Consider the following 20,783-nt stretch of genomic DNA (forward strand, 5'->3'; position numbering starts at 1 on the left):
CAACGAGCTAGCAACCAAGCAATAGAAAACTTATAAAAATACAATAAACAGGCAAATAAACATAAAACATGAAAGATAAATGTCAGATCAAGCGGCTGTAACAAAATATAATAGATTAAGTGGCTTAAAAAAAGGAAATTTCTTTTCTTTTTTTTTTTTAGACGGAGTCTTGCTCTGTCCCCCAGGCTGGAGTGCAGTGGCACTATCTTGGCTCACTGCAACCTCCGTGTCCTGGGTTAAAGTGATTCTCTGGCCTTAGGCTCCAGAGTAGCTGGGACCTCAGACGCGTGCCACCATGCCCAGCTAATTTTTTGTATTTTTAGTAGAGACTGGGTTTCACCGTGTTAGCCAGGATGTTCTTGATCTCCTGACCTCATGATCCGCCCACGTCGGCCTCCCAAACTGCTAGGATTACGGGCATGAGCCACTGCGCCCAGCCTAGGAAATTTATTTTCTCACAGTTCTGAAAACCGGAAGTCCAAGATCAGGTGTCCAGCATGGTCCAGTTCTGGCACAGGCTCTCTTTTTGTCTTGCAGATGGCAACCTTCTTACTGTGTCTTCACATGGAGAGGGAGAAAGAGAGGGAGTGGAATAGAGATCATTTCTTCTTCTCCAGCTACAGTCCTATCTAATTAGGATTCTATATGTATGACCTCATTTAACCTTAATCACCTCTTAAAGACCCTGTTGTCCGATACAGTCACATTGGAGGTTAGGGCTTCAGCATTTTGAATTTGGAGACAGGGGGAGGGTGGCACAATTCAGTCCATAACAAGAAATAAACAGCCACTAAATATAAACATAAGCTTGGCTCTTCTCTTTATTATTTCCTTACTTCCTGACTCTTGCTCTTTTTTTAACTTCTCGAGTTGAACATGTAGCTCATTTGTTTTAAAATTTTGTTTCGGGGGGATAAGTATATTTGAATCTATAATCTTTCTTATGAGTATTGCTCAATTCTATCCACCAGATTTTGTCCTGTTGTGCTTTCTGCTCTAAGCAATTTCTATTTCCTATGTAAACACAAGGTCTTTTCAATGCAAGGTCTTTTCAGTGCAAGGTCTTATATGTTCATGGCTACTATTATTCTGTTTTAAATCTTTTTACAAGTATACAATGTTGTCCTTTGGGCTTTGTCTGGAGGCTTACCTCCAAATCTTTATAGATACACTTTTATTTGTTTGTTTGTTTGTTTTTTGTAGAGATGGGGTTTCACTATGTTGCCCAGGCTGCTCTTGAACTACTGAGCTCAAGGGATCTTCTTGCCTCGGCCTCTTTAAGTGCTGGGATTGCTGGTGTCAGCCACCATGCCTAGCTTATAGATATACTTTTTAATCAACAGATGAAAGATGAACTGAGGAAATAGAGTTGCTACATACGAGACAAGAATTCTGCTTATATTTCTGGAAAACTTTTCTTTTTTACCTGATGGGCTTTTAATCTTTCATTTATCTACTTTTGTGAAGGGGAATTCTAATATTGGAGGAGTGAAGCCATTGTGGCCAACAGCAAGGAAAATTAATAGCATGTGTGCTTTAATCAGTCAGATAGTCTAGGTTGTGCTGTGGTAATAACCAAGCCGTAAGTCTCAGGAGCTGAAAACAGCACAGATCTATTTCTTGATCATGTACCTGTCATGAGGGGCTGGATCTGTATTATCCTTAATCAACGTGCGGGATTGAGTAGATGGGTGCTGAAATAGTTTGCATGTGTGTCTCTGCCCAAATCTCATGTTGAATTGCAATTCCCAGTGTTGGAGGTGGGGCCTGGTGGGAGGTAAATGGATCTTGGGGGCAGATTTCTCATGAATAGTTTACCACTACCCCCTTGGTAATATTCTAGTGACAGTGAGTGAGTTCTCTGAGGTTTACATCACCTCCTGCCTCGCTCTCTTGCTCCTGCTCTGGCCATGCGATGTGACTGTGGCCCCTTCACCTTCCGCCATGATTGTAACTTTCCTGAGGCCTCCCAGAAGCCAAGCAGATGGCAACATAATGGTTCCTATACAGCCTGCAGAACCATGAGCCAATTAAACCTCTTTTCTTTACAAATTACCCAGTCTCAGGTATTTATTTATAGCAGTAAGAGAAAGGCCTAATACAGAAGCTAAGACCCTGTATTCAACCCTTTTCTTCTGCAATTGCTCAGGAGGGAAAACAGACCCTGGCAAATCTCCTCCTGCCTCTCAAGGCTTCTGCCTGGAAGGGACAAACCTCACTTCCGTTCATATTTCAGTAGCCAGAGCAGCACATAGTCACACCTAACTTTAAGGGGTCAGGGAAGTATATCCCTACCAGATGTCCACAACGAGACTGGACAATATTTGACGAATGTCAGTAATGACCACCACACACTGTACTGTCCTTTCCAAAGCCAATTTTGCTGTTTGTTTGTTGATTTTTAAAAATTCCCTTTAGTTATTTGAGTTACTATGAATCCTTCCAGTGATTTTATTTTATAGAAAATAAGCAAACAAAAAACCCTAAAACTTTACCAATATTCCAGAAGGCATTAGACTTGACATTATAAATGTTACAAACAGAACATCTTAGGACAGTGAACTTTAGCTGATACACTGGGATAGTTTTGAAGAAAGAGTACACACATATTTTTCAAGAATAAAGTTTTAATAGGAAAAGGAAGCAGAGCATGGCATAGGCCAATATTTAGATTTGAATAATTATTGGTAGGCACCCCATGTCGGGCAGGGAGCCAGGGATTTTTGCATATTCTAGCTAATTCAATTTAATTCTTTATAAAAACAATTTGAGGTGAGTCTTATCCATAATTTATACATGCAGAAACTGAGGCTGAGGGAGGTAAAATGACCTTTCCAAAAGCCACTTGGCTAGCAAATGACAGCTTTGCTCAAATGCTATCATCTGATACTACGGAGACAGAAGAGAAGGACGCAGTGTGTATGTTTGGACAGCATGCACTGTTTGGTTTGGCAGGACTGCGAGATACACCAAAGGTAGGGGGAATCTTGAGTACCAAGGTAAAGAGGTTGGAGTTTATTAGTTAGGTAGTGAGATAATGGTTTTTTGAGTCGGGGGGACATTGGTAGAGCTAAAAAAACATTGCCTCAGAAACATTGATCTGCTATTGTTTTCTAGGATGAAGGGAAATGAGGCAGAGTGAGGCCAGGAGACCAGTTAGAGGAATTCTGTGGGTGTTGGCAGGGGAGACAGAAAACTATCTTCCATCGAGTCTTCGGATCCATTGGGAATGCCTGGATGACGTCAGAGTTCGCCCTGTGTAGGTAGCTCCCACTTTTCATTGTAGGTTTCTCAAGGACTTGCTCCTAGAAAAAGCGTGGCTCAAAAGTAGATAAAAAATAGGCAACTGCCTAAGTGTGAAATTTACAAAGTTCCTCTCCAAAAAAGCCCGCCTCCTCCCTATCACTTGTGGGCCTGACATTTTACCAAAGGGGCTCTATTCTTTCAAGAGTTTGTTATTAAAGCGTGACTATTTGAGGATTGGAGGCAAAAGGGATACTGAGAAATGTCCTTACTAGCAGTGTCAAGGCAAGTGACATAAATGTGTGGGGGGGCAACTTGTATGAGCACTGTGAAAACGGCAGCATGTTCACTCTACTTCTCAGCTCTGACTGAGGGGCTCAAAGTTCAGGATCTGCTGATTTTTCAACAGTAACGTCCTCTCCAAGGTGTTTTTTTTTTTTCCTTTTTTGGGAAAGCCCCCAGTTTAAACTATTGCAGCCAGTTTACATTTCTTAATGTCACTGTGCTGGCCACATTCAGAGCTCCATTTGCCACCATCGGTTTTGATACCTTTTTACCAAAACCTTTCGAAATTTGAGAGCCCATCTTTAGTAAAACTGGGCATGGAGCAGATTCGTTTGGATTGCTGAGAGGGGAGATAGAAAAGTTTGGGTGCTAGGCAGGAACTGCAAGGAGGACCTGGGCCATATGCCAGACATCTAGTGCCTGGGCCTTGAAAGGGAGACTGGTCGCTGACAAGGCAATATCTGTTGCAACCCAGGCTTCCTAGATGACCACCTTGGATCATGGCTCGGAGCACAGGGAGGGCTGGGCAGTGCTTGTGTTTCTCTCCGTTCCAGTTGGCCCCTTCCCATTGACATTACAGTAATGCAGTTGTGTGCTGTTTGAAAAAGCATCCCTAGTTACACAGAATGATTTACAGGACACCAGACTCTGCATTTCAGAGGTCTCCAGTGTACCATAAAAAATATATTATAAAAGAATAATCTTTATCTGAACTAAAGCTGCAGTGAAGGAAACTCGTGTCCAGCTGAGAGCAGCAGTGAGCTTTTGTTCACTCAGGGAAAAGTCCGTGTTCTTTATCTTATTTGATTAACATTTTTTTTCTCTTTGGCACTAGGTATCTCGTTAATATTTAGACATTATATACATTTTCTTTCAACTGGTTTTCCTATTACGTGATCAAACAAAACCAGAGATGCCAGCCACAGCAGCCAACAAGGGAAAAGCAGCCCCGTCAGGCACCCAGCTGTGGCTGGGGGGCAAATGGTACTCACTAGAGCCACCCCCAGGAGGCACCTGGCAGAGCTCTGTGCAGAGCCAGCCCCGGTTGCAGAAAGCTGAGTTTGTTGGAGTGCCTCAGTTGATCACTCTGTCTCTTTCTCCCATTTCCCTCACTTCCCTGAGCAAAATGCAACAGGAAGCAAAGTCTAGTTGTGAATCTTCCAAAGCCTTCTGATGTTTACCATGTTCCCCCAGGAGAGGGAGGTGAGGGGTGGAGATCTCTCTGCAAAGAAAATACACTTAAAAAATTTCAGCGAGCCGATGCACAGACACCCAGCAACCCAGCTTGTCTCCGCTTATTAGGTGTTCAGAGCGACAGTGGTCCCACACTATTTCAGTCCAGGAAACCATGAACTCCGTTAGTGGCAATGCCCCCGAAGAGGCGCAGGTGTGTGCACCTGTGATTAAGGGTGTCGAGGAGGGGCAGCCTCATCTCTTGAAGCAGAAAGTGTTGTCACCTGGTGATGGGACAGAGGGAAAAGCTCTGGGGCTGGGAAACCTGGGGGCTTGTGTCAAAGCTCCACCCATCAGGAGCTTCAAGAGAAGATGGGGGGCGGGGGGCGGTGGCTGGAAAGATGGAAGTTGGGATGGGAAAGCGGTTGTAGAAAAGGATTCACTCCTGGACCGAAGGCAGGAGGATATCCCGGGCGAGAGAAGGGAGGGTCGGGGATGGGCTGAGTTGGAGTCCCAGAGGAAAAGCGGAAGCGAGAGCTTCGTCACCCGCTGTCTTCCAGCTCCCGGTGCGCGGCACCGGAGGCAGGCGTTGGGCTTTACCTCTCTAAAAGTACTGGGGCAAAGGAATGGAGAACACGGCGTCCCGAGCTCCCAAGGGAGGGGAGTAAACGAGGTGGGGTGGGGAACACCCCAAGTGCGTGCGTGCTGGGGGCTGGGGGGCACGATCTCCGTTCTCCCGGGTGCCCCAGCCCTAGCGCACGCCTCCGCTCCCCCGCCCCCTTCGCAGGCGCGCGCGAGGCGCACCCCCCTTCCCTCGGCGGCGCCGGGCGCGCGCCCGGCCCCCTCCTCCTCCCCTCCGCGCCTCTCCTCTCTCCCGGCAGAAAGTTAGCAGCGGGGAAGGAACTCCGGGCTGCAACAGCGCGCGGCGGCGGCGGCAGAGGCTGAAGCAGAAGCCGCGGCGGAGCCGGGGAAGCGGGGGCGCTGCAGACGGAGCAGGTGCCGCCGGCGGGTCCGCGCGCCCCCCTCGGTCCCCTTGCCTGAGGCTGAGGGGGGGGCGGTGGTGGGGGGGCCACCCGGACTCGGCGGGCAGCGTGGGGCGGGGGGCCATGCGGCCGGGCTCCCCCCTGGCGCAGCGGGACAGCGGCCAGGGCCGGGGGCGCAGCGGCGTCGCTTCATGCAGCCGGGGCGGCTGGGCAGCGGCGGCGGCGGCGGCGGCGGCGGCGGCGGCGGGGGCGGCGGCTGAAACCATGTCCGGGCAGCGCCGGGGGCTGCCGCCGCCGCCGCCGCCGCCGCGAGCCGGGAGCCGCGATGGCCCGGTGGCCCGCACCTCCTCCGCCTCCGCCTCCGCCTCCACCTCTGGCCGCGCCGCCGCCGCCCGGCGCCTCTGCTAAGGGGCCGCCGGCGCGCAAGCTGCTTTTTATGTGCACCTTGTCCCTGTCTGTCACCTACCTGTGCTACAGCCTCCTGGGCGGCTCGGGCTCCCTGCAATTCCCTCTGGCGCTGCAGGAGTCGCCGGGCGCCGCCGCCGAGCCCCCGCCGAGCCCGCCGCCACCCTCTCTGCTGCCTACCCCCGTGCGCCTCGGCGCCCCCTCGCAGCCGCCCGCGCCGCCGCCGCTGGACAACGCGAGCCACGGGGAGCCGCCCGAGCCCCCAGAGCAGCCAGCCGCCCCCGGGACCGACGGCTGGGGGCTGCCGAGCGGCGGCGGAGGCGCCCAGGACGCCTGGCTCCGGACCCCGCTGGCCCCCAGCGAGATGATCACGGCTCAGAGCGCGCTGCCGGAGAGGGAAGCGCAGGAGTCCAGCACCACCGACGAGGATCTCGCAGGCCGGAGAGCGGCCAACGGGAGCAGCGAGAGGGGCGGCGCCGTCAGCACCCCCGACTATGGGGAGAAGAAGCTGCCACAGGCGCTCATCATCGGGGTCAAGAAAGGAGGGACCCGCGCGCTGCTGGAGGCGATCCGCGTGCACCCGGACGTGCGGGCGGTGGGCGTAGAGCCGCACTTCTTCGACAGGAACTACGAAAAGGGGTTGGAGTGGTACAGGTAGGACCCTGGGCTCCGCGGGCTGGTGGAGACGCGTGGGGGAGACGCGGAGGGGAAGCCGCGGCTTTCCACGCCCTTCGAGCATCCAGGCACCGTCCCGAGAGGCCCAAGCCCCCGCGAGGGCTCTGCAAACCCTGGCGGCGTTGCTCAGGGGGATCGGCTGAGAGGGCTGGACTCCAGCGAAAGGTCACTTTATTTCAGGGCGAGGGGAGGAGGTGTCACCCTGCCCTGCCTCCCGCGCTCCTCATCCAAGGAGGTGCTGTCTGAATCTGCCCAGCTCCAAGCCTGGGAACCCCCAGCCCTCCTGCCTGCTGGGTGTTTCCGAAACCAGGCTCTTGCGGGGTTCTGGGATTCTGGGCAGAGGACTTTGAGGAGTGAGACAGGATGGCTAAATTGACTAAGGGGATTTGAGGTCCCCTGGAATCTCTTAAAATCACCCTCAAACGCATTTGCGTGGCTGGAATTCAACTTTAGTGTGTTAAGGTCAGAGCAAAATGAATAGGGAACAGTTACAAAGATCATGCTGGCGTTTTGGCTTTCTAGTAAAGAAAGGATGCCTCCCACCTCCGTAACTTTCCATCCCCCTTGGCTGAATGAGCACGGAGTTGATTTTGCACCAGAAGCCTCAATGTCTGCATGACAGTTGGTGCCCTGAGAGTTTTTATGCCTCAGACCGTGCCCTGTCTAATCTCCGCCTCCTTCGCAACAGATTGGAGCTTCTGTCTTGTGAGATGTTCATCTCCCTCCTTTCCCACCGTCTGCCGGTGGTGAGAGAAAGGTAGGAGAGAGGACTAGAAAGTTAAGTGCAGGTAAAATAAATTAATAATCCAGCTTTCCTGCCAGCCATAACATTTTAAACGGCACTGGTGCAGATGCCCCAAACGCAAACCTCCTTCGCCTTTGTTGTTTCTCTTTCTCTCTTTCCTCCTGTTTTATATCTTTCTGGGAAACAGATCTGCATGGCTGGCTGCATCTCCATTGCATTTCGGTAATTAATTGCAAATGTCAAACAGAAACACAGCCTTTGTCAGCTGAAGTGATGTTATCATCTTAGCAGAGCCAATAGGTAAAATCAAGATTGTTTCTCTGACAGGTTGCCTGCCCGTTGAGGAGATGTGCTTTCTAGGTTTAAATTACAGCCTGGGAAAGTTTTAGAAATAACTTAACTGAAGAAATACATAATAAATGTGTGCATTATGATTGATTTCTTCCACTTTTAAAAATATGCCTTATGCTTTAAAAGCTTGAGAGAAGTACACTTAGTCATAAACATTCCAGCACATTACAGGGAAGCAGCAAATGTGTCTGTTAACGTCTTGTCTGTTTCAACAGAGAGAACTAATTGCAGTATTTTAGGAGGCTTCAAACAGCCCCTTCCTATCAAAACATAAAACAGCAAATGCCTAATTTAACTGGAAAATCAGTATTTATAACATCAGAAGCCATGGCTTCCAGTTTGTGATTATAATTAAAAAGGTGTTAGGATGATTAATGCAGCAACAGCAAAATAAAGAAGGGGCACGATGTCTGGGAAGGTTTTAGTTGTTTAATTGCTGGTTGTAGGAATGTTCTGGTTTCTTCTGTGGAGTAGCTTTGGCCTTATGAGGGTAATTGCGTTTTTTTTTTTTCCAATTCTAATTTTAGAATTATGAGAATTGTCAAATGCCCCTTCAGGGAGGCAGAAAGATCAAATCTTTCCAAGATCTGAGGTGTTTGGGTTTGTGGCAGCTGGAAACAGAGGGCCGGGGGTGTTTTATTTGGGTGACTTAAAATAAAGTTAATGAAGGATGTGTGGTGGAATGTGTATCAGGAAGTCTTATCACTGGGTCTGGAGAGTTTTCCGAATGAAAGAATAGAAGATGCCAGATTTTCCTAGATTCCTTTATGCTGATGTTAGGAAGAGAAGGTATAGAAACTACCTTGTTTGACGTGGCTCCTGATTATGTTATTCCAGCGCTGTGGTATGCCCAGCCTTCTACTCCCAACCAATGCTTGTGGTATTTGGGACTCAGTGTCATATTTGGTAGCCACTCACAGAACTGTTAAAGTGAAGAGGTGTGGATAGAACAAGATTCCCCTGGTCCTCACTTAAGGGGACCATGTGGTATCTCTGTGTCCTTCATCCCCACCCCAGCATCTAGTCCAGGGGTGCTGATTGAAAGCACTGGACACAAAATTCTCTTAGGAACAAGCTTCCTGCCAATACATGTCTGTCTAACATAGAGGAGATCATTAGCCCCCAGCTCTGCTTTTGGGAAGACCCGTTGGACCCACAGGATCTGAGTGTGCTGGGACTGCTTTGGACCACTCTCCAGCCTTACCACAGACAGCGGTGCTTTGAGGCATTTGTGAAATTTTCATCAGTTCCATCTATCTCTTCAGACTCCTCTCTCACTCCCGTATAGGAAGAGGGGCAGCATTCTCACTGTATTGTAGAAAAGGAAACAGTGGCATTGATTTGGTATCAGATGGCACTGATCAGTGGCATCGATTCCAGTATCAGAAACTCTTTCTCCTGGTTTCCTAGTCCAACTCTTCATCTTTTAAATGATGGTATCTGTACCTAAACAGTATAGTTCCTTCCTATAACAGGTATGCTATCTGGGATCTATTTGACTGATTAGAGATCCACAGGTTAATTAAAGGTTTTAATTTTTCCACTGTTTATTTATTGTTATTTTGTTTAAATGTGCTTCCAGTAGCCTATGAATTCTGCACATGTTTCTGGTTTTTGTGTTTTCAGCAAGAGGGAGAGCCAAGAAGAAATTGGGGCTGCTCTCTGCACAGCTGGCTTGGGGTTTTCTCATATTCAACTCAAGAGCCCTAGCAGGTTCAGTTCCTCAGTGTCACTCCAGTTATCTCTAAATCCGGGTTTTGCTTTCCTCCTATGCTGTTGATCTAATGTGATATAAAAATACATCTGAGATTAGAACGTGTGCATCAGATTTTCAGGGCAAGATAGACTAATGGATTGGGATGCATGTGTTAAAATCTACAGAGAAGCGAGCCTCACTTGGTGGATTGACACAGGCCAGTGATTAATAAATTTGGTGAGATTAAACCCTCCATGCCCTCTTCCCTCTCCCTTTCCAAAAAAAGGCAAAGCCACAGTGCACTTTTCAGAATGAGCTGATTACAAGCTGTCTAGGCAGAGACTTTAAACTCTTCTAAGGGATGGGACCTCGGGCCAGGCCAACTGGCTGCCAATGCAGAACTCATCAAGGTGACAGAGACAACATGAGCTGTTTGCTCTCTCATGGTTTGCAGAGCATACGGTAACCATGACCACTTTACACTGGAAACCATTCAGCCCCAGGGCAATGGGAAGTGATTGTCCATGGTTTGTTTGTTTTTTTTTTTCTTTTGAGATGAAGTCTTGCTCTGTCGCCCAGGCTGGAGTGCAGTGGCGCAATCTCGTCTCACTGCAACCTCCGCCTCCCGGATTCAAGCGATTCTCCTGCCTCAGCCTCCCGAGTACCTGGGAGCTCTTCCATGGTTTTAAGTTGTCTTCAGTGTCAACAGTGAATACACACATTCCATTGGCTAGGGGAAAGTAACTCAGGAAAATGCTCTACAAAGTCACGCTTATGCTACCCAGAGGAAAATGGTCAGTGCTCAGCAGCATATTTTGCATGTGGCAACTGGGGAGAGAATGGAGAAGGATGGAATTTCATTGGTGTTTACCGAATGCCTGCCATTGTGGCAATTGGTGCTACCTACAATTATAGACCTGTTATTTCATTTGAGCATTTTGATGATATGCTGAGATATGTAGCAGCATTTCCACTTTACACGTGGCTCCGAGAGGGTAAATGATTAACTCAGGGTCACTTGGCTGTTCAGTGCCTCTGCTGAGATTTGAACCTGCTGTCTAATTTCAAAGGGCTGATTTCTTCCCTTGTACCACACTGCCACACATAAAGTACTAGGAAGCATATACCCTGTGTTCATTCATTCATTCATTCAATTATTTAAAAAATATCTACCATATGCCGTGCACTGTATTAGGTACTGGGGATAAAATGGTGAATAAGATAGATGAAGCACCTGTTCTCCTGGAACTAACATTTTAGTGGGAGGGTTGTGGAGACAGCAGACAAAGAGCCAAATAATATGTAATACAAATTCTGGTGGTGATAAAGACTACAAAGAAAAATAAAGTAATGGATGGCCCAGAGCTGTTTTGTCTAGTATGGTAGCTACTGTCTGTATGTGGCTATTGAATAGGTAAAATGTCCAAATTGAAATGTGCTGTAAGTGTAAGATACACAGAATACTAAATTACTCAATAATAATTTTAGATTGCTTACATGTTGAAATTATACTCATATCAAGTAAAACGTCTTGCAATTAAGTCCACCTCTTTTTACCTTTTCAATGTGGCTACTAGAAAATTTAAAAGTACACTTGTGACTCACATATTTCTACTGGGCAGCACCTGTGTGGTGTAGTGCTTTGTAAACTTTAGGATCATCTAGGGATCTTGTTAACATGTAGATTTGGATTCAGCCAGTCTGAAGAGGAGCCTGGGAGTCCACATTTCGTCTTTCTTTTCTTTTTTTTTGAGACGGGGTCTCGCTCTGTTGCCAGGCTGGAGTGCAGTGGTGTGATCTCTGCTTCAAGCGATTATCCTGTCTCAGCCTCCTGAGTAGCTGGGACTACAGGTGCGCACCACCACGTCCAGCAAATTTTTGTATCTTTAGTAGAGACGGGGTTTCACCATGTTGGCCAGGATGGTCTCGATCGCTTGACTTTGTGATCTGCCTGCCTCGGCCTCCCAAAGTGCTGGGATTAGAGGCATGAGCCACCGTGCCCGGCCCAGGAGTCCACATTTCTACAAGGTTGCTAGATGCTGCTGCTGCTGCTGCTGTCTGGATCTCACTTTGAGTAGCAAAGTCCTGGAAAGTAATTGGGGAATGTGTGTGTGCATGTTGGTTATTATTATTTGAAAAAATTTTTTTAAAGACAGGGGTCTCACTTTGTTGCCCAGGCTGGTCTCAAACTCCTGGCCTCAAGGAATCCGCCGTTCTCAGCCTCCCAAAGTGCTGGGATACGGGCATGTACCACGAGGCCAGGACAACATATGAGTTATATTAAGTAGAATGATTAGGGAAAACCTCTCTTTGGAGGTGATGTAAATGGAGTAACAGAGTAAGACCCTCCCATGTGAAGATCTGGGTGGAGAGGTCTCCACTTGGAGGGAACAGCCAGTGTCAAAGCCCTGGGGTGGAAACAAGCTTCGTGGCCCTACAGAGTGTCCTTTCTTGATTCTAAAAGCACTGTTTTTGTTGCTGGACAAATCCAGGTTCAAAACGTGGCTTTAAGACTTATGAATTGGATGATCTTGGTTGAATAACTTATTTGACATCGCTTAGCTTCAGTTGTTTATCTGAGGGTAATTGCTTCCTTTTAGATTGTTGGGAGGAATAAATGAAATAATAAAAGTGAATGTATTTTCTAAACAAAATGAGTATCCTAGAGCAGAAATCCAAATAGAGTCTCAGCTACCGAGTCTGTCCATTTCTCAAATCAGTTTAGTCTCGTGTATGCTCTACTTCCTATCACAGCTGTCATAATATTGTCCAAAGAGGCTGTTATTTGGGATGGTTTGGGAAAACCCCAGTAATGATTGGCTTTGCAGTGTGCATCTCCTTACCCTTTTAAACCGAAGGTCACACAACTTCAGGGCTCAGACAGGTCGTATAAATGAGCGAGGTAGACTAGGTGGAGAGAAGCTAAAGTGCCTGCCTGTGCTCTGGCTGAAGGGGAAGCCACTGCTGCAGTCTAGCTACTTTTTTCCCAATGTGCAAGTGTGGCATTGGGGTTATGAGATCTTCCACTGTGTAAGAGAAACTGGAAATCCAGGTTTTGATTTGAAATCTTTTGATTTTTAATATTGGCAACAGATTTAAGTTTCTTAAAAGCCCAGTGGGGGCCAACATTGTGGGACAAACAAAATACATCTGTGGGCTGGATACAGCCAGCTGGCTACCAGTTTGTGACCTCTGGTTTAAACTCATTTCAGAAAACAACGGACATGCCCATACCCTGTGTACCCTGTGCAGTGGCCAGAATCGTGGCTTACATGTGCTATTTTAGTGTAGGGTTTTTTCTTTTTCTTCCTTTACAGATTTTGTAACAGCATGGGGGAAATACCTCCCGGATATATTGCAACATCCACAAAAGCCTGATATAAACAAGAACATTGAGGCAGAAAAAAGAAAATTCGCAAATACATTCCCCTCCGTTCTCAATTAACGTTCTCTTGAAACTGGGGAAATTCTCAATTTTTCACTCGTTAATCAGGAGTGCTTGTATTTGATCTATATCGATAACTTGCACTTATAAAATAGATTACGCTCAGTCGTATTAAGATCTTAGAGTTAGAAAAACTGGATTCCAGGCTTGGCTTTGCCACATACTAGTTTTATTGGACAACAGGTTACTTATATTAATCTCTGTTTCTTAGGTGATGAAGGTATTTTAACTCCATAGGGTCCATTCACCTACGAAAAGACTTTGGTTCCAGAACACATTTCTGTATTAGACTCTTCAGAAAGAGGAAGCTGTGGAATAGAAGCAACATGGTTTGGAGCATGTTTTGTATGTCTGAGCCAGAATCTATTGGACAAATTACTTAATATAGCTAAGCCTCAATTTCTCCATCTGCAGAATGAGCTCAATATTACCCGCTGCCAAAGGATTACGTGAGGATGACACGAAATGGCATTTAAAGTGCCCTATGTAGAGCTTGTGACAGAGTAAATGTCTCTCTCCTCTTCTTTCCTCTCTCTCCCATTTTTCTTTTCTCTCTTACTCTTCTCCTTCATTTTCCTTCAATGCCTTCCTTTATCCTGCCCATCAGTACTGACGGCCCTAAAGAGAAAGCTGTAATGTATTTTTCATTTAAATGTAGTCTTTTATTTCAAGATTAGGTCTGAATGAGGGATTTTAAACCCTGAAGCAGCTCTTAAGTAGCTCTCCAGAGAATAATCAGAACCGGATTCCAGAATTTGGTCTATTGTAACTTGAGCTGAAGGAGGAAAAAAAGTATGATTTCATGAGGTAACTGCAGCCAGAATTCTCCACAAAAGAAATGCGGTAAGGAGGTGGACAGGCTCTGTGGACTTCCATGCTGACATTCTCTTGAGCCTCCAGTAGGAATGGATGCCACTTGCCCCGGGTAAGTTCAGAGACATTTAGGATGCCAGGAGCCTGTTTGCCTTTCGTGCTTCTGCAGAACCGAAGGCATTTGGGAATGCAGGATTGCTCCCCAAGACCCTACGAAACCCTCTATTTTGAGATTTGGCTGCTTTCACCGGTGTTCTCTAGACATCCTAACATGATTTATTTATTTTTATTTTTTATTTTTGAAAATCATACCAGGCATTTTCACTTTTAAATCAAGTCAGGAGAGAGGCCTCGAGACTTTAGATGAATGAAAGATTGCTAGGGTTGTTTGTCAGAAAGTTTTAAGGGTTTTGGTTTTGCATAATGGATGATCTCTCTGGAATGGATTGAACCACCGCCCCGTTCAAGTAATCTCCTGATTTCATTGGTTTTTGCGGTTTAACAAGCTCCTCTGTAACTGTCTTGGGAATTGCGTTCTGAAATTATAATTCACTAAGGGAGCTTTTCAGCCCATCTTGCCATTAATTAAAAGAAGGTGGTTGGCTTTTTTGTTGTTGCTGTTTGTACTCACTACTTAGGACTTACTTGCCTTAGACATTTTTTTTTCAACCTTATTTAAGAATATACAAGGAAACAAAGCAACACGTGAATTAGACAATATTTTTTTCAGTTGCAAATGACAGAAATGGAACTTACACTATTGTAAACAACAAAAGACATTTGATTGCCTTACGTGATTGAGAAGTCTGGGGATAACTTGGTTTCAGGAAAAACTGGATCCAGGGGCTCAAATGATGTCACTAGGCCCCTGTCTCTTTCCATTCTTTGCCGTGTTTGTCTCTACCTGGCTTCATTCTCAGACAGGCTGTCTCACCACAGTTTAGGCAAGATGGTAAGAAGCATTCCTAGACAAACATATTTTATGTTTATTAATCTTTTTGGAAACAGTTTTTCTTAAGAACTTCTGTAGGAAATTCCTAGAGATGCCTTGGGCCCAGGTTGGGTCCTGTGCCCCATTCCTAAAGCAATAATTGTGTGGGATTCTAATCAGGCCTAGGAGATGTAGCTAGCCCTTTGGCTTGGGGTGGTGGTAAGAGTAGAGAAGCAGGGTTCTCTATTCTTTACGGGGAAACTGTTCCATGTAATTTCCCCATTGCAACCACATGAAATAGTTTCCCCATAGAGAAAGAGGGGTTCAAGGGTGCTATTTTTAGAAAAGTGGGGGCCAGTTAAGCCAGATGTACGTTAAGTATATAAAGATCCATCCCCGGCCAGGCATATGATCTCTCTAATCCACTGGAGGGATTAGAGAGACTGGAGGGAGGTGCAGAGGGTGTTTGGGGACTTGTTATTTAGTTATTAATTCTGTGCAGCTGTTATTTAGTTATTCATTCATGTATTTATTCATTAAACATGTATTATCAACCATGTGCTATGTGCTTGGCTGAAACATGAACCAATCATGGCCAGCGATCTGAAAGAACTCACAGAGTGGAGAAATGGACATGTAAATGATCACATTGAAAGGTGTTATCAGTCTTGACAGAATGGGATTTATTCTAAGAATGGAAGGATGGTTCAATCTTGGGGAATGTAATAATGTGATTTATTGTTAATACAGGCAAATGAGAAAAATTTGTGATTTATTTTATGGATGCTGAAAAGATATCTTATAAAAAGAAATATCTATTTCTGATTTTCAGAACAACCTGCTATTAAAATAGGGTCATACCTAAAGCCAGCATCATCTTTAGTGGTTTAACACTAGAAGCATTTCCACTAAATCCAGAACCAGCCTGAAGTGCTCATTACTGTTACTATTATTTAACCATTGTTCAGGACTTATTAGATAATACAATTAGAAAAACAAAAGGAGAAAGGGGGGAGGTAGAATTATTACTATTTGCAAAGTAATTTTAACTTTTCCTTTTTGGAAAACCTAAGATTACCAATCCTCCTATGAATCTATTGGAAACAATAATAGAATTCATTAAGGTGGCTGGTAAGGAAAAAACAATGTATAATTTATAGATTTCCTATATGCCTATGCCACCCATTGTGAAAATATAATGGGAAAAAATACTGTGTGTATAGAACCAACCAGAGAGACGAAATAACTAGGAATAAATTTAGCAAAAATTGCAAGGGACTTGTAAAAACAAAATATTAATACTCTACTAAGGGGCGCTGGAGAGGACAGGAGTAAATGGAGAGACATCCTTCTCTAGGGTGGCATTTCTTTCTTTTCCTTCCTTCCTCCTCCCCTTTCCTGTCTCCCTTTTCTTTCCCATTCTTGTTTGTTTGTTTGTCTAAGTCATTGATGCCTAAATTGAGATCAGATGTGTTTGAGGGTGATCTGAAAATATTGTTTATATAAACTTGACCAAAATGTACTTCATATATGGGATATCCTTCCTTTGCACATTTTATTTGACAGAGGAAAGGGTGGCAAAATAACTGTCACTGTTTAGATTCATAAACTATTATAATCCCTTGCAGAGGGGCTGACTGCCTTACACCCCCAATTCAGGGGTAGAAGAACCATGCCCAAGGAGTGGATTAAGAGTTGAGCTAGCGGCTCAACTCAACTCTTAAGAGTTGAGCACGATGGCTCACAACTGTAATCCCAGCACTTTGGGAGCCTGAGGCAGGTGGATCACAGGGTCAAGAGATTGAGACCATCCTGGCTCACGTGGTGAAACCCCGTCTCTACTAAAAATACAAAAATTAGCCGGGCATGGTGATGCGTGCCTGTAATCCCTGCTACTCAGGAGGCTGAGGCAGGAGAATCGCCTGAACCCAGGATGCAGAGGTTGCATTGAGCCGAGATTGCACCACTGTACTCCAGCCAGCCTGGTGACAGAGCAAGAGTCTGTCTCAAAACAAACAAACAAAAAAAAAGAGTTGAGCTGGTGCACATTAGTCAATGTGGATGCACTCATGTTGCCACATAGCAAAAAGTGAATCAGAGACAAACCATGGTTATTTTAGGACGGGAGGGGGAGATGGAGGTTCGAATCTGATGGAATAACAGTCGCCGTGGGAGTGGCAGCACTGGTGGTAGATGATATTGTATCACGTGTGCCAGGCTTGGCTCCGAGTATTGAATTCCTTTAGGCTTCACTGGCACCTCGTGAGATAGGCACTGATATTACCCACGCCTTACAGGCGAGGGAACTGAGGCACAGTGCTGGTAAGTCACTCGCTCAAACTGTGGAGTTGGGATTCAAACCTAGGTGTATGGCCTCAAGCATACGTTCTTACCTTTATTTGTCTCAGAGTTCATTTCCACTGGAAGTGGTGTCTTCCAGCCTCATGGGAGTAAATAATAAGCTTCAGCATTTCCCTGCTTTTAGTTCCAGTGTGCAGATGGACAGGCTGCTGCAGGAGTCTTGCCCTCACAGTAAACAGTGGAAGTGGTTTTCTTTCTGTTCAGGGACTATGCCAAGCTCATTCCCCCTTTAGGGCCATTTTATTCTCTTTTCCCTCCTCCTGGAATATTCTGTCCCTAGATCCCTAAACTACTGGTATCTCCTTATCTTTCCTTTAGGTGTTGGCTGAAATTTCAGCTCCTCTAAAAGGCCTTTCCTGACTACCTAATTTAAATAACTTCTTCCACTTCTGAGCTTGTTATGCTGTTTTATTTTCTCCAGCACATCTATTGCTCTCCAAAGTTATCCTCATTACTTATCTCCCCCTCACTAGAAGGTAAACTGCATAGGACCAGAAATCGATCTTGTCCATTTTGTTTCAAGCCAGAGCCCAGAACAGTGCCTGGCAGATAGTAGATGCTCAATGCATGGTGATTTATTAATCACCAATGATAAATCAGTGAATTCATGAACAAAAAGAGGACCTTGTATGTACGATACTCCAGGCTTCTGGAAAGAAAGAACCCTCACATTTCTTGGGAAGTGTAGCTAAGAATTGTTCTCAGCTTTTTCACATACTCTTTTTTTGCAAGCCTATTTTGGGTGCAGAAAGAGAAACCCACTCAAATAAGCTGTGTGGGCTAGCTAGTCTCCCCCAAAGGTTCCTATAGCACACAACATTATTTCATTTATTCCTCACAGTGGCCTCATGAAGTAGATGTTTTCTTACAGATAGAGAGATTGAGACTTTGGAAGGGCAAGTGACATTCCTGAGCTCCCATAGCAGGATGTCCTGAGCTGGATGTCTTATTTATTTATTTTTAGAGATGGTGTCTCGCTCTGTTGCCCAGCCTGGAGTACAGTGGCATGATCATAGCTCACAGCAGCTTTGAACTCCTGGGCTCAAGTGATCTCCTGCCTCTAGTAGCTGGACTATATAGGTGCTCCACTGTGCCTGGCTAATTTTTAAAAAAATTGCTTTGGGAGGCCGAGGCAGGTGGATCACCTGAGGTCAGGAGTTCGAGACCAGCCTGGCCAACATGGTGAAACCCCGTCTCTACTAAAAACACAAAAAATTAGCCAAGCGTGGTGACAGGCACCTGTAATCCCAGCTACTGGGGAGGCTGAGGCAGGAGAATCGCTTGAACCCAGAAGGCAGAGGTTGCAGTGAGCTGAGATCATGCCATCACACTCCAGCCTGGGCAACAAGAGCAAAACTCCATCTCAAAAAAAAAAAAAAAAATTGTAGAGAAGACATCTTGCTCTGTTGGTTGCCCAGGCTAGTCTCAAACTCCTGCACTCAAGTAATCCTACAGCTGAGGCTTGCCGAGGTGCTGGGATTACCTGTGAGCCACCGCACCCGGCCCTGGGTGCCTTCCTACTATTCCTGGCCTCTGTTGCTGTAGCACAGTTGTAGGAGATGAGCACGGATTATTACTGATAGATCATTATGCTCCATGAGTAGTTGGATTGTCTTTCTCTGGATGTATTATCAAAATTACCTAATTGCCATATAATAATCAGGCCATGACACGGGGGCCCCCTGTTTGACTTTTGTTACCTCCTAGAGGTGTCCGCACACCATTCCCTCCAGGTTAAAGCTTCTGCAGAGGGTTAGAGATTTGGGAGCCCCTGGAGATGAGGAAATATTTGAGTCAAACTACGTGGGCACCTCTGTCATAGGACAGTTTGATTGCTTGGAGCTCTGTGGTATTTTGAAAAGGAAGCTGGGCTGGCTGCGGTGGCTCACGCCTGTAATCCCAGCACTTTGGGAGGCCGAGGCAGGCAGACCACAAGGTCAGGAGGTCGAGACCACCCTGGCTAACACGGTGAAACCCCATCTCTACTAAAAATACAAAAAATTAGCTAGGCGTGGTGGCACGCACCTGTAGTCCCAGCTACTCAGGAGGTTGAAGTAGGAAAATTGCTTGAACCCAGAGGCGGAGGTTGCAGTGAGCTGAGATCGCACCACTACACTCCAGCCTGGTGATGAAGCCAGTTTCCATCCCAAAAAAAAATAAAAATAAAAATAATTGAATAAAAGAAAGAAAAGGAAGCTGAAGGTGGAATCAGAAATTAAGGATTTGAGTCTGAGTTCTGCACCTTGTGGGACTTGTTTTGTGTGCATAGATTGGTGTGTAGAGCCTTTGTTTTCTCATCTCTAAAATGGGAATAACAACCTCTACTAACTCCACAGTGATTTTGCAAGGGTAGAATAGTGACTGTGTGTTGGGATCGACTTAGTCTACATATGTTAGTTGTTATTAATCCATGCACGTTTTCATGAATTCCCCCAGGTTATTGGTTTCCTGGAATGTTGCAGTCCAGGGAGTACCTGAAATACAGGACAAGCACTCTTATAAAGTTAGATTAAGAGGTTTAATTTACAGAAACTATTTTATAGCATGGATATCAAACGTTCTCAGGGCAGACTGCGTAAAGATCTGGGGAATTCCTGGACAATCTCAGACTGTGTAACTGTTTCACCGGATTCATCATTGTTACGTCATTTTTAAAATACCGAAACAACATAAAAACCTACGGAGCTACGGGTCACACTTGCTTCTTAAAACTGCCCTGCAGTTGTTGAGCTTTGGGAGTGACCAGAAGATTCTGTCATTTGGTTCTCAATTGACCTATCCTCTCTTTTCAGGCTGTGTTTCCCAGGTTGGTGTATTAACTTTCCACCTTCTAGTTGTCTGCCTAACATGCTTTCTTTTTAAATCTTTTTTAATATATATATTTTTTAATTTTACTTTAAGTTCTGGGATACATGTGCAGAACATGTGCCATGGTGGTTTGCTGCACCTATCAACCCGTCATCTAGGTTTTAAGCCCGGCATGCATTAGGTATTTGTCCTAATGCTCTCCGTCCCCTAGCTCCCCACCCCCCGACAGGCCCTGGTGTGTGATGTTCCCCTCCCTGTGTCCATGTGTTCTCACTGTTCGGCTCCCACTTATGAATGAGAACGTGCGGTGGCCTAACCTGCTTTCTAACCCTCTGTGCTAGACAGAATAATGACCTCCCTGAAATGCCTGCATCCTAATCCCTGGAACCTGCAAATATGTTAGATTAGCTGGCAAAGGGGAATTAGGTTGCAGATGGAATGAAGATTATGAACCAACTGACTTTAAATGGGAGATTGTCCTGAATTATTTGGTTGGAGCCAATGTAATTCCAAGGAATTGTATACAGAAGGCTTCTCTTATCCGCAGTTTCACTTTCTGAGGTTTCAGTTACCCATGGTTAACTGTGCTCTGAAAATATTAATGGGAAATTTCAGAAATAAATGTTCATAGGTTTTAAGTTGCTCATCATTCTGAGTAGTGTGGTGACATCTTGCGCTGTCCTGCTCTGTGCCACCCAGGATGTGAATTATCCCTTTGTCCAGCATGTCCACCCTGTAGACTCTACCCATCCTTGAGTCACTCAGCAGCTGTCTTGGTTATCAGATTGACTGTCGTGGTATCTCAGTGCTTATGTGTGAGTAACCTTTACTTTACTTAATGATGGCCCCAGAGTGCAAGAGTAGTGATG

The 20,783-nt window shown here is 45.7% G+C and overlaps 1 protein-coding gene across 1 annotated transcript in view, besides 2 other annotated features; it reads left to right on the forward strand.

Moving 5' to 3' along the window:
- Positions 1 to 5,550: 5,550 nt before the first annotated feature.
- Positions 5,551 to 20,783, forward strand: part of HS3ST4 (heparan sulfate-glucosamine 3-sulfotransferase 4) — a 445,727-nt gene continuing 430,494 nt past the window's right edge. The window contains exon 1 of the mRNA NM_006040.3: positions 5,551 to 6,743. Within this exon, the coding sequence (NP_006031.2) occupies positions 6,010 to 6,743 (734 nt within the window). The 5' untranslated portion in view covers positions 5,551 to 6,009. The remainder of the gene's footprint in view (positions 6,744 to 20,783) is intronic.
- Positions 6,295 to 6,795: an enhancer, noted in NCBI's record as "H3K4me1 hESC enhancer chr16:25704024-25704524 (GRCh37/hg19 assembly coordinates)". NCBI's record gives its function as "activates a minimal SCP1, AML or CMV promoter by ChIP-STARR-seq in naive H9 embryonic stem cells {active_cell/tissue: H9 hESC(naive)}" and the evidence as "EXISTENCE:reporter gene assay evidence [ECO:0000049][PMID:30033119]".
- Positions 6,796 to 7,296: an enhancer, noted in NCBI's record as "H3K4me1 hESC enhancer chr16:25704525-25705025 (GRCh37/hg19 assembly coordinates)". NCBI's record gives its function as "activates a minimal SCP1, AML or CMV promoter by ChIP-STARR-seq in naive H9 embryonic stem cells {active_cell/tissue: H9 hESC(naive)}" and the evidence as "EXISTENCE:reporter gene assay evidence [ECO:0000049][PMID:30033119]".

This window comes from Homo sapiens, chromosome 16 (assembly GCF_000001405.40).
Source record: "Homo sapiens chromosome 16, GRCh38.p14 Primary Assembly".
NCBI lineage: Eukaryota > Metazoa > Chordata > Mammalia > Primates > Hominidae > Homo > Homo sapiens.